The sequence below is a fragment of the Homo sapiens genome, chromosome 2, assembly GCF_000001405.40.
Source record: "Homo sapiens chromosome 2, GRCh38.p14 Primary Assembly".
Classification (NCBI taxonomy): Eukaryota; Metazoa; Chordata; class Mammalia; order Primates; family Hominidae; genus Homo; species Homo sapiens.
In genome coordinates this window covers 159434067-159448069 of record NC_000002.12, presented here as the reverse complement: position 1 = coordinate 159448069, position 14003 = coordinate 159434067, and the positions used below count along the sequence as shown (strand labels likewise).

Here is a 14003-nt window from a genome sequence, read left to right as displayed (position 1 = left end):
TTACTGTAGCCTCGTCCTCCTGGGCTCAAGCAATCCTCCTGCCTCAGCCTCCCAAGGACTACAGTCATGTACCACTATGCCCAGCTACGTGTTTAAATTTTATTTTTATTTTTTGTAGCAACAGGGTCTCTGTGTTTCCAGCAGTCTCAAACTTCTGGCCACCTTCTGGCCTCAAGCAATACTCACACCTCAGCCTCCAAAAGCGCTGGGATCACAAGCGTAGGCCACCACACCCGGCCTTAATAACAGTTTTATAGTGTTATGCTAGACCTTTTCACATTTTCTTGCTTAATTCTTAAAATAATTCTTTGAGATTAGAAGTATTTTAATTTTACAGCCAAGGTCAAATAAGTTGTTCAAGAAAATACTACTTACATATGGATGTGGCCTAGTCAGGATTTTAGCCCAATTCTACTGTTTTTTCCTCTGTATTTCATTACCTCCCTATATGTAACCCAATATAGTGTGTTACTTCTTTTGTAATTAAGTATTAACTTCATTAAAATTAATAACCTAGTACTTTTTTAAATGATCACTAATATTTCTGCAATTAATAACTTGTTAGAATATAATTTGAAAATTATAACAACATTTTAGATGATTTACTATCTTTCTTTTCACTGAAGTGTTTTACAAAGTTCTCTAATGTGTTTTACAATTAAAACACAAAGTTTTGCATTTCATTATCTTTCTAAACATTTTGTTTAATTGAGGTGAAATTCACTTAACATAATATTAACCATCTTAAAGTGAATAATTTACTGGTATTTAATGCATTTGCAGTGTTGTACAACCACCACCTCTATCTTGTTCTGAAACATTTTTATCACTGCAAAAGGAAACTTTGTACCCATTAAGCAGTTGCCTCCCATTCCCCTCTCTCTCAGCCCTGGAAGCGATCAGTTTTCACTTTGTCCCTGTAGGTTTACCTGCTCTGAATATTTCATGTAGATGGAATCATACAACATGACCTTTTCTGTCTTCTTTCACTTATCATATTTTCAAGTTCATCCAACTGTACATATATCTGTACTTCATTTTTAAATGATGCAATAATATTCCATTGTATAAACATGTTTATTTTTATTTTCAAGGTGTAAATGGGTCAATAAATGGAAGTAATACATCATCTGTAATTGGTATCAACACATCTGTACTATCCACTACTGCTTCAAGTTCCATGGGACAAACTAAAAGTACAAGCTCAGGTGGAGGAAATCGAAAATGTAATCAGGAACAAAGCAAAAACCAGCCTTTGGATGCTAGAGTTGACAAAATCAAAGATAAGGTAAGTTGTACTTGGAAGGACTAATATATAACAGATCTATATATAAGATGAGCATTCTGAAGGTCAAATCAACAGAATCTATGGTTTAATTTCTTATGAATTACCAACTTTTATTTTTATAGATACGTGATTTATGGTGTCAGTACCAGTATAAATAATACAAATAGTAATAATAGATAAAATGTATTGAGAATTCACTGCATATCAGCTCTGCTCTAATTGCTTTTCATATAACTTTTAACTCTTCCCTGTATCCGAAATGAAGTAGCTACTGTTATTACAAATGGAGAAGCAAAGCACCAAAATAATTAGCCACTAAGTGACTGAGCCAGGATTTGAAAGCAAGTGGGTTAACTCCTGTGCATTAGAAAAGAGTGAATAAGAAAACCTTTTATTATGGAAACTTTCAAATATACAAAGTAGACAGAATGACCATTTGTACCTATTATTCAGCTTCAACAGTTGTCGCATCATGGCCAGTTTTATTTCATGTATATCCCCAACTTTGCAAGTTATCAATTTATTGCCTCTCAGCTCTCAATCACTCTTTTCTTCTTTGCCACTTCTTGCAGTGTTAGTCCTTGTTAGTAGAAGGTCCTGGAAGAACACTGGAAGAAGATGTTACTTCTTTTTCTTCTTCTTTCTTCTTTTTTCTTTCTTCTTCTCCTTTGACAGAGTCTGGCTCTGTTGCACTGGCTGGAGTGTAGTGGCAGAATCTCAGCTCACTGCAACTTCCACCTCCCGGGCTTAAGTTATCCTCCCACCTTAGCTTCCCTAGAAGCTGGGACTACAGGTGCATGCTACCACACCGAGGTAATTTTTACATTTTTTGCAGAGATGGGATCTCACTATGTTGCCAAGGCTGGTCTTGAACACCTGAGCTCAAGGGATCCACCGCCTCAGCCTCCCAAAGTGCTGGGATTGCAGGCATGAACCACCACATGTGGCTGGGACTTCTTTTTCTGGTTCTAGTGTTTTCTTCTTTTTCTTACGCTGTGGCTGCCAATGGGTGGCTTGCTTGCTGGCTGACAGCTTCTCTACTGGTGGTATCCAGGAGATCCAGTGGTGGTCAGGAGACCCAGTAGTATACACTGTCTAGTGAGTTTCATTGGCATCTCAGCAGGCAGTTTACTAGCAAGTTTTGAAAAGTAGGTGGCTTTCAAACTAATTTTACTGCCACTGTAGCTGACAGGTTCCCAGCCATGTTTTTCTGGTATCTTAGCAAGCAGTGTTTTGTGTGTGTCAGCCTTGACTGTGATACCTCATTGAGTTTCTCTGCCATCCAGTGGGCAATAGCCACATCCTCTCCCACAAAGTCTGAAACTTAGCCTTGGGTGAATGAAGGGGTTGGGGGAAAAAGTCCCTTTTCAAAGGTTATCTTTATTTCATTACTCTACCTTAGCCCTACAAAAAGTACATATTCCCTACATCTCCTTTTCCTGTATTATTTAGAGGTCACTTTATTCCTCTTAGTAGTTAATCTTCTGTTATTAATCAATAATTCTTTATGTTAAATTTTTCCTGTTCAGATTGTTAATGCGATTTCTTCCTCCTGAGTAGATCTTGTTGGCTCTTATCATTGGTTCCAGGAGTAGGGTGGGTATGCAGCTTGCAGGTGGTAAATTCACTTCTACATTCTGATCACTCTGCACTTTTGGATTCCCTCTTCCACATTATGTCAGAAGCTGTGACATCTCAATTTTATAAAATGTAGGTCATCATTGAGTCCAGGTTTCATTTATCTAACTAAGTAAGCTGAGAAGCCTCTAACTATATGATCTAGCATATTATGTATTAGAACACTCTTATCAGTGGATTTAGTCTGCTCCAATTTTTAATTTCTTCTTGAGTGAGAGGTCCCAGTTAAAGCCTTGTCATCAACTGCAAACATTTGGGAAACAAAGATAAGAGTTGTGTCTTCTCTTCTGTGTTTTATAAAAACTGCTTTCAGGGCCTGGTTTTCCAGTGGAAGAGAGTCAAAAGTTTGTGATCCTACACACATGATGTTCTTCACCATCTCAGCTGTAATATTGTGACAGGAAGCTTCTGATACATCACAACAAGAATAGCAAGATATGGGTAGTCACTGACTGCACATGACATTGATCCAAACTTTAAATCTGAACTACTGCCTCTTATACACCAATTTTTAATCCTAAGAACTACTTTGTCAAACTTTCTTTATCCTTTTTCAAGACAGCATCAAGCTCCATATATTTTCTGGAACAAATGAAACAGAACTGAACAAATACATTTATTTTCTTTTGCTGAGCATATTTCATAGATATATTTCCTCTAAATCTTTAAATTTCCTTCTCAATAGAAAACATTTTCCAGAGTATAACATGCTTATATGAAGACTTGGGGGAAGGCCATCTGGTAATGCTAAGAAGCTTGACGGTACCCATCACAAAAATGCAAAAGTACTGTACATAGGCCCCAAGACAACCATTTTCTTTCCCTTTCAACCTACACCACTGAGCACTGAAGCAAACATGATAAAAGATTCTTAATTGTTTCCTCCCAGGGACACAGGTATCAGTGTCATACTCTCCACCTGTTGTTCTGTACCTGCTCTTGGCTCTTCTCCCATAGGATTTGTTTCAATGGCAGTCTCGGTGTAAGCGCTAAGGTCCTATCTCTGAGCTACTGCCAGTTTCTCTGATGCCAGACACTGACTGAAACCATCCATTTCTGATTCCCATATTATTTTGAACCAAATCCCAGACATCATATCATTGGATGCATTTTTATATGTGCTTCCAAAAGTTAAATGCCCATGCTTTTAACCCTTATGCTATCCTACCTCTTAAGAAGTAGTGCTAAAATCAAGTAAAATCTTTGTTGCCTCTACAATGTGTAAGGCATTGTACAAGATCTTGGAGGCATGAATATGACACAGTTCCTGTACTTAGTTCTAATGAGGAATCTACATTGACATTCCTAAACAGAATCAGTGCTGTCATACTAAAAACTGTTACTAGGAGAACATACTGAAAACTCAAAGAGGCACCTCTTTCTACCCAGTTTTAGAGATAGATTCTGAGGTACCATAGTAGTGTCTAAGGCAACTAAGCAGAAATAACATTATAGAGAGATTGTCTATTCAAGTGAGGCATACTAGAACTTATGATTTCAAAAGAACAGCACTTTCAGATGATATGTGGTTCAGCATGGGTTTGTGGGAGTGGGTTGCTCAAGTAAAATGGAGATAAAGGGCATTGGAACTAAAGAAGAAAATCCTATACTTTTTCACCCAGTATTTCTTCAGTTTTCAAAACTTTTTTAAAAAGTTGCTTCATTCATTCTTTTCACATGTAGTTTGAAAAAAAAGTTCAGCTAATTTTGATACCTCCCATGGGAGGTGGGGTACTTATCTCAGCCATTCTCATTGAAAGTCATTGATTAAGTCCAGTCCCCTCATATAGTCTGCATATACATTTAGAATAAATATTGATATTTTAATTAAATAATTAAACTAAGACTAAAATATACAGCCTGTTAAGAAAAGAATAAAACAATTCAAGGTTGAATGAGTTTTATCCCAACTGTCGTACAAGTTATTCTTACCACAACAACCAAAATAGCCTTTAAAAACATATCTGATTTTTTATGGTTTGAAAGTATCACATGTTAGGGAATAGTAAATGATACTGCCACTGTGGAAAACAGTATGGCAGTTCCTCAAAAAATTAAAAATTGAATTACCATTTGATTCTGCAATTCTACTTCTGGGTATATACCACCCAAAATTGAAAGCAGTGTCTCAAAGAGGTATCTGTATACCCATACTCATAGCAGCATTGTTCACAATGGCTGAAATGTAGACACAACCAAAGTGTCTATCAACAGATAACTGGATAAGCAAAATACATGGGGAGGCACATGTGTACACATACATAAATACATGTTAGTATTATCCAGCTTTAAAAAGGAAGGAAATTCTGATATTTGCTACAGCATGGATGAACCTTGAGGACATTATTATACAAAGTGAAGTAAACCAGATGCAAAAGGACAAATACTGTACTGTATGATTCCACTTATTTGAGGTACTTAGACTCATCAGAATTATAGACCGAAGTAGAATGATTGTTGCCAGTGGCTAGCATGGAAGGAGGGATGGGAAGTTAGTGTTTAATAGGTATAGAATTTCAGTTTTATAGGATGGATAGCACTGATGTTTGCACAACATTATGAATGTATTTAATATCACTGAACCATACACTTTAAAATGGTTAAGATAGTAAATTTTATGTTATGTGTATTTTACCACAATAAAAAAATGAGGGGGAAGTATACATCAAATGTCATCACTCCCTCCACTAGTGTTCTATCCCAGTGGGAATAAAGTCCTTGCCATGACTTATAAGAGCTGTGTGATCTGACCTCCACCAGTTCATCCATGCTTATTTCCTATCACTGTCTCCCTGGTTCACTATGCTCTAACTGGTCTGCTGACCTTTTCATTTTGGAACACACTCAACCCACTTCTAGCTGGTGGCTTTTTCCTTTGCTGTTTCCCGTCTTGAAAGGCTCTTCTCTTATGTCCTTGGGTGATTGGCTCTTGCTCTCCCTTAGGTCTCAGCTCAGAAATGTCTTACCTGCTGACTACATGTAAAGCAAAACCCCACCCCACTCCCCACCACACATTGTCTATCCAGTTATTCTGTTTTACTTATGGTATTTATCACTCAAAATATTTATTTAAATTGTTTGTTGATTCTCTTCTTCTAGTTCTCACTAGGCAGAGCTGGTGTCTGTTTCTCACACCCTTGTATCCCCAGAGACTTGAGCAACTATGCCTGGTACATCATAGCCTTGAATATGTATTTGTTTTGTTACTAAAAGAAATAAATATACAGTGAAATGAAGGTTCAAGGATAAGGTTCTGAAAAGTTTTCCCAGATTGGATGGGGGAAAATTAATAAGCTGTTCTTTGATCACTTTTTGATAAACCTAAGAAGACTAACTTTTAAAATGTTTTAGCTTATAGTCCCAACTAGTTGAAGGCTGAGGCAGGAGAATCGCTTGAGCCCAGGAGTTCAAGGCTGCAGTGAGCTATGAAAGCACCATTGCACTCCAGCGTAGGTGACAAAGTGAGACCCTGACTCATTTAAAAAAATGTTTTAAATTTAAAAAATTTGTAAGTAATAAAACATTTTAAATAAGAGAAAAGAGACTTACTAGCTAATTATTTGTGGAAATGACACATATATACTCTAATGAAACTGGTGATACAAACCCATCTTTTTTCCCTATTTCTCTAATACTCACACTTGTCTTCTCATTTCTGTTTGTTTTAATGAGTACTAAATGTGTTACCTTATAAAAATAGAACTATTTACACATGGCCAAAGTATGCTCGGCAGAGACTCCCTGCATCAGAATCACATTAAGTGCCCTGTCTAGAAGTGGGACTCAGGAATGTTATGCACCCTAAAGCTTCAGAACCAGTACCTCTGGATGACTGTTCCTGGGGAGTATAGTCCCCATTTCTCATGCCATCTTTAAATAAAAAGCTACACACTTATTCCTTGGGCATTTAAATAGGAGTTAATTTTTCTCTGCTAAATCACTGTAGCTCTCTTATTTCTTTTCTTTGTTATCCCTTACTAAAACAAAAATGTTAATTTCAGTTTAGGTACCTTATGATTTTCGTGGTCTTGCTATACATGCTTAGAAAACTACAACAGATTTTGGTTGCAAAGAAGTAGCTGTTTCTTTGACAAATAAATGGTAGTCTTAATATTAATATATTATTATTTTCCTTTAATCTCTCTACCTTGTGATCTTTCTCATTGTGTGGGTACCCATACAATTCCAATTCAGTTTCTCGTTCCTGTCTGCCCTACTTTGAGGGAAGAAAACTCAAGAAATGATGGGAACTATTAGTCTGCTTATTGAAGTGTGTATCTTTGAAAGAGGCCTTCTTGTAACTAGTTTGGAGCAGTTAAAGCAGAGTCATTGCAAGGCCAGATGTGGTGGCTCACACCTGTAATCCCGGCACTTTGGGAGGCCGAGGCGGGTGCATCATGAGGTTAGGAGTTCAAGACCAGCCTGGCCAAGATGGGGAAACCCCGTCTCTACTAAAAATACAAAAATTAGCGTGGTGGCAGGCGCCTGTAATCCCAGCTACTCAGGAAACTGAGGCAGAGAATTGCTTGAACCTGGGAGGCAGAGGTTGCAGTGAGCTGAGGTCGTGCCACTGTACTCCAGCCTGGGCGACAGAGCGAGACTGTCCCCGAAAAAAAAAAAAAAAAACAAGAGTCATTGCAAACGGAATATAATGGCGGGAGTGACTCTCCTCACTCATATGAATGTTACCTGAATCAATGTTCAGAAGACACAATAAAAAGACTACAGATTTGCAATCTGTAACCGTGGCTTCAATTTGGCTCTCTGTTGTGGAGATATATTACTGTATTTCATTCCCCAATCCCGAGTAGTCATAAAAGGATGTATTTCTGTTAAGATCATAACTTTTGTAATTTATTGTTATTTTTTCTATATTTTGTTCTTTATCAGCAAATGCCATTAAAATGTTCCTAGATTGTACTTAATCTTGTGGCTCCATCATTTCAATGTTTCTCCTTTTCAGTCTTTCTATTGGTGAAATTTTAACTTTCCCATTGTTAAATAATTATGAATATTTTCAATAATCTACATGACAGAGCTTGTACTTTTTATTGAGGAGTTCTTTTATAAGTTAATTGATTGGTTTGTTAATTTGTTATAATACATCTCATGATTTTTCCTCTTTTTGTCCACTACTATTATGTTTTCTTGAACACAAAACTTCACTTTTATGTGACCTAATAACCACTTTCTACCAGCTTTGGATTTTATTTTTCTTGCAGAGTCTTAAATGTTCCAAAAATAAATCTCTCTCGTCATATTTATCTACCTCATCTTCTACCTTTTTTTTAATATTTTCTGAAATGAAACATAAACAGTTAAATTCCTTGACCCTAACTAAAGCAGCCCCATAGGTCTTTTGCTACCCTACTTTATCTTCTCTACAGCACTTATTATTATATGGAATAATTTGCTTTTATATTAAGCATTTGTGTACCCTCCCCTATCACCAGCACTAGTAAGTTTCTTGAAGGCAAGGACTCAGTCTTGGACATACCCAGAAAGGTGTGTGTGGCATGTTATAGGTAAATGTTTGGCTACTGACTCACTGTCTGCAAAAAGAAAGAAGACTAAAGCTAAATGTGTAACTTTTGATGTATGTATCATAGTTGGAATTATTTTGTGAACTGATCTTTTTAATCTGTCATACATTTTGAAGAATAACAGTCATATGAGTACATCTACACATATGCTATATTGATATTTTCAATATTCTACATGACAGAGCTTGCACTTTTCATTGAGGAGTTCTGTCATGTAAGTTAAGTTGATCAGTTTGTTAAATAATTATCCTTACGATATGTGACTTTTTCCTACAATGACATTTTGAGATTGAAAATATCATTTGAAAATTAAAAAGAGTACACCTTTTATTGAAACTTGAATGTTTTCCAAAAATAAAGTCTTGCCAACTACCTTGTCGTTATCCAGAAACCAAGGAAGAAAGCAATGGAAAGTTCTAGCAACAGTGATAGTGATTCAGGCACATCATCAGACACCTCAAGTGAAGGCATTAGTAGCAGTGATTCAGATGATCTAGAAGAAGATGAAGAAGAAGAAGATCAAAGTATTGAAGAAAGTGAAGATGATGATTCTGATTCAGAGAGTGAAGCACAACATAAAAGTAACAACCAGGTATAATTTTTTTCATGGACAGTATCCAAACATTATTCATATTTAGGAATTAACTGGTTTATCTTGACTCTCAAAGTCTGTAGTTTTAAAGTTAATCATTACTTTGAGTTCATACTTTTGCCCAAGAAAGAAGATGAAGAAATGTTTTTAAAGGGACATACGGTATTTCTTTTACGAATTTTTAGATTTTTAGATATTATCATAAGGCATTAAGAACACTTTGAAAGTACCCGTTTTTATCTCCAGGTTTTACTGCTTGATAGTCTTTGTCTTAATAGATGTTAGGAACTTACCTTTTCATTTTTATATCTAGGTGCTATTACATGGTATTTCAGACCCAAAAGCAGATGGACAGAAAGCAACTGAAAAAGCCCAGGAAAAAAGAATACACCAGCCATTACCTCTTGCGTCTGAATCCCAGACTCACTCATTCCAATCCCAGCAGAAGCAGCCTCAGGTTTTGTCACAGCAGCTTCCATTTATTTTCCAAAGCTCTCAGGCAAAGGAGGAATCTGTGAACAAACACACCAGTGTAATACAGTCTACGGGATTGGTGTCCAATGTGAAACCTTTATCTTTGGTAAATCAAGCCAAAAAGGAAACTTACATGAAACTCATAGTTCCTTCTCCTGATGTTCTTAAAGCAGGGAATAAAAATACCTCTGAAGAATCTAGTTTATTGACCAGTGAATTGAGATCCAAACGGGTGAGTTACAAATTATTTATACAAGAATTTTACTATTAGAGAAAGATAGAGCTTCTATATTGTCTTACAATACACAAGTTTAAGTTAAATTCTACCTTCATTTTTATACTTTCTTAGTCTCCAGGAATAGAATATGTACAGCAGAAAACTAAATTTCTCTGATTTTATATTCATATATGTATCTGTTTAATGTATTTTTGGCAATGCAATCATGTCATTCCAGCTCCCCTGCAACCCATGCCTAAGGTAAGTCCCCACACCCAAGATCTAAGGATTTAGAAATAAGGGGATAAATATGTTTGAGTAAGACAAGCTTCACAATTACTTGGGTTTAAAATTAATGTCCTTTTTTTCCTAATACCAATTTTTTTTTATTTTTTTTTTTTGAGGCAGGGTCTCAATCTGTTGCCGAGGCTGGAGTGCGGTGGCTCAATCTCAGCTCACTGCAACCTCCACCTCCCGGATCCAAGTGATCCTGCTGTCTCAGACTTCCTAGTAGGTGGGACTACTGGCATGCGTCACGACACCAGGCTAATTTTTGTATATTTAGTAAAGATGGGGTTTCACCATGTTGGCCAGACTGGTCTCAAATTCCTGACCTCAAGTGATCTGCCCGCCTCGGCCTCCCAAAATGCTGGGATTACAGGCATGAGCCACTACATCCGGCCAAATATATTCTTTTTCAAAGAAGTGAACTCAAGTAATTTACCTCTGTAGTCCTAGAATGTACACATTTTAAGTGTAAAAACCCTTCATAAAGAATCACTTTTCTGGCCAGACATGGTGGTTCACACCTGTAATCCTAGCACTTTGGGAGCCAAGGCAGGAGGACTGTTTGAGCCCAGGAGTTTGAGACCAACCTCTGCAACATAGTGAGACCCTGTCTCTACCGAAAAAAAAAAAAAAAATTTTCCTTTGTCATTCTTAATGGATTATATGAAATATAACTTCTACTTACACAAACACTGGAAACACTCCAGAGAATTTTCTCATCTTTGTTTTTCTTGCTGTTGATTTTACTACATAGACTAAATTCATATGTCCAGCAAAAAATTCTAATAATTAAATGATTATTGCTTTTTATTCTAGAATCAGCCTAGAGTAGGAAACCATTATGTTTGAACACAATATTACAAATATTATCTTTAGGCGACTTAATTAGATATCACTTGTAGGGCATCTACTGTTTGCCAGCCATTGTTTTAATTGCTGAACATACGTTAACTTATTGGTAATAATATCTATGAGTGCTACTAATATTATCCTCATTTACAGATGATAAAATTAGACATTTACATTAGACTCAACTCTAAAAGGTACTACCTTCTCTTTGTCAGTACCTATTATTGAGGTAGAGGTACCTACCTGCATCCCTCATTAGTTCATTATTTTCTTAAAGGTTATTTAATCATTGAATCCTTCAGTACCCTTACACTGAAGAAAATGTCACTTAAATCCATATAGATTGATTGAATACATAGACCAGGAGTAGAATTTTGTAGATCTTCTGTCAGCTTTCTTTTATCAACTGTTTTTTCTTTTTCTTTTTTTTGAGACAGAGTCTCGCTCTGTTGCCCAGGCTGGAGTGCAGTGGCAAGATCTCCGCTCACTGCAAGCTCCACCTCCTGGGTTCACGCCATTCTCCCGCCTCAGCCTCCCGAGTAGCTGGGACTACAGGCGCCCGCCACCATGCCCAGCTAATTTTTTTGTATTTTTAGTAGAGATGTGGTTTCACCATGTTGGCCAGGCTAGTCACAAACTCCTGACCTCAAGTGATCTGCCTGCCTCGGCCTCCCAAAGTGCTGGGATTACAGGCGTGAGCCACCACACCTGGCCCCAAATGGATATCTTAAAGCAGCAAGAGATTTGCTGCTATACAGGTCTCAATTTTCTCTCCATCTCCTTTTTACACATCACTCCTGATTTTAAAAATGATAATATGTGTACTATAAAAGAGTAATTGGGATAAAATATAGAAATCTTTGGCTATTTTTAAAAACTTATTGGTGTCAATATATGGGAAGTGATTCTTCAGAATTACAGTGAGGAACAGTTGCAGAAAATTAAAATACAATACTAAAGGGACTTTTGTTTTCATGGCCCTTTAGACCTATATATTTAGAAGGAAAACTTACTACCTATAAAAAAAGATTACAAAATTATTACATGACATAATTATGTTCTAACAAACGAAAACACACTAATTTTTCTGCTGAAAATTTGAATCTTGTATATTAAAGTATTTTATGTAAGAATTTTGCTATAAAATTACATTGAAATGGTACATCTAACTAGCATAATTTTCTAGAATTTACTGAATAATTACTAATTAAGCACTTTCTCTTTGTAAGGTATTGCCTTAGGTACAAATATTTTGTGACAGTTTTTATTTACAAAGAATTATCTTAACAATTTTCTAAACTAATACAGTATAGATGTTAAATAAGATAAAAAGTTTACATTGCTTACTGCTTGTTAGTACTGCTGCTTTAAAATATTTAATAAGTATTTCAGGCTGAGTGCGGTGGCTCTCGCCTATAATCCCAGTACTTTGGGAGGCCAAGGGCAGGTGGATCACCTGAGGTCAGGAGTTCGAGGCCAGCCTGGCCAACATGGTGAAACCCCTTCTCTACTAAAAATACAAAAAAAGGCTGGGCGTGGTGGCTCACGCCTGTAATCCCAGCACTTTGGGAGGCCAAGGCAGGCGAATCACAAGGTCAAGAGATCGAGACCATCCTGGCCAACATAGTGAAACCCCATCTTTACTAAAAATATAAATATTAGCTGGGCGTGGTGGGGTGTGCCTGTAGTTGCAGCTACTCAGGAGGCTGAGGCAGGAGAATCGTTTGAGCCCAGGAGGTGGAGGTTGCAGTGAGCCAAGATCGCGCCACTGCACTCCAGCCTGGCAACAGAGTGAGACTCTGTCTCAAAAAAAAAACTAAAAAAAACAAAAACATTAGCCAGGTATGGTGGCACGTGCCCATAGTCTCAGCTACTCAGGAATCTGAGGCAGGCTTGAACCCGGGAGGTGGGGGTTGCTGCGAGCCAAGATCGTGCCACTGCACTCCAGCCTGGGTGACAGAGTCCAAAAAAATAATAATAATAAAATATTTATAAGTATTTTATATAACATTCCATCAGCATTTACACTTGTGAAATCTCCATCACAAATCTTTGCTGATTTTAGTGTTAGGAGCCCAGGTCTGATGCTGACAACACTACTGATTTTAATTTCAAGGCAATCATTTTCAATGCAGAATTTTACCTTAGATTAAGAAATTCAGCTCCTTCTGTTAACTCAAAGGATTTTAATAATTCTGCTGCTGTTAATTTTTATGTAATATTTTAATTATAGTAGCTTAATAAAATTCATGATTGTGTTGTTTTCAAGGGGATTCTAATAGTTAAATAAGTTTTTGTTTATAGACATAAATTTTATGGCTTAATAGTTTATAATCTTTTCCAAGAAAATTGTATTTTTCTAAATTGTTTACTCGGGAATATTACTGTGCAAAGGCACACTAAAGTAGATCCCACAGAATGTTGAATGTCCATTTCCACCAGCTTAGTATCTTAAATCTTTGCTTCAAAGAAGTTCTTGCTCAGGAAGTTATTCATTCAGCAACCTAAAATTGTTTTTTGAGTACATATCAAGCACAGGGTTCTGAGCAATGTCTTAGGAAGACCATAAAGGTGAATAAATGAGTGTTTCTACCCTGAGGAATTTATCAAAGATGTTAAGTTATCTCCTTAGAGGTATAAGTCATATAGGCATATTCTATGTATACTAAAGGTGGTATGGCATAAGAGTACATATAGTCACCAACTTAGAATTGTTTGACTTGGCCGGGCGCAGTGGCTCACGCCTGTAATCCCAGCACTTTGGGAGGCCAAGGCAGGTGGATCACGAGGTCAAGAGATCGAGACTATCCTGGCCAACATGGTGCAACCCCATCTCCACTAAAAATACAAAAATTACCTAGGCATGGTGGTGCATGCCTGTAGTCCCAGCTACTTGGGAGGCTGAGGCAGGAGAATCACTTGAACCCAGGAGGCAGAGGTTGCAGTGAGCCGAGATCGCGCCACTGCACTCCAGCCTGGTGACAGAGCAAGACTCCATCTCAAAAAATAATAATAATAATAATAATAATTCTTTGACTTATGATCTTTCAACTTCACAATGGAGCGAATGCTATACACATTCAGTAGAAATTGGTACAATAATCCCTTGATGCT

General features: G+C 37.0%; 1 protein-coding gene across 48 annotated transcripts in view, besides 1 other annotated feature; it reads left to right on the top strand.

The window, feature by feature from the left end:
• Nucleotides 1-14003, top strand: part of BAZ2B (bromodomain adjacent to zinc finger domain 2B) — a 397131-nt gene that overhangs the window by 264373 nt on the left and 118755 nt on the right. For all 48 annotated transcript variants that reach the window (XM_047444047.1, XM_047444046.1, XM_047444040.1 and 45 more), the window contains 3 exons: nt 1095-1288; nt 8858-9061; nt 9375-9767. In XM_047444047.1, the coding sequence (XP_047300003.1) occupies nt 1095-1288; nt 8858-9061; nt 9375-9767 (791 nt within the window). The remainder of the gene's footprint in view (nt 1-1094; nt 1289-8857; nt 9062-9374; nt 9768-14003) is intronic.
• Nucleotides 9132-10331: an enhancer, noted in NCBI's record as "MED14-independent group 3 enhancer chr2:160294250-160295449 (GRCh37/hg19 assembly coordinates)". NCBI's record gives its function as "activates an origin of replication core promoter dependent on BRD2, BRD4, P300/CBP and CDK7 cofactors, and independent of MED14, by STARR-seq in HCT116 cells {active_cell/tissue: HCT116}" and the evidence as "EXISTENCE:reporter gene assay evidence [ECO:0000049][PMID:35650434]".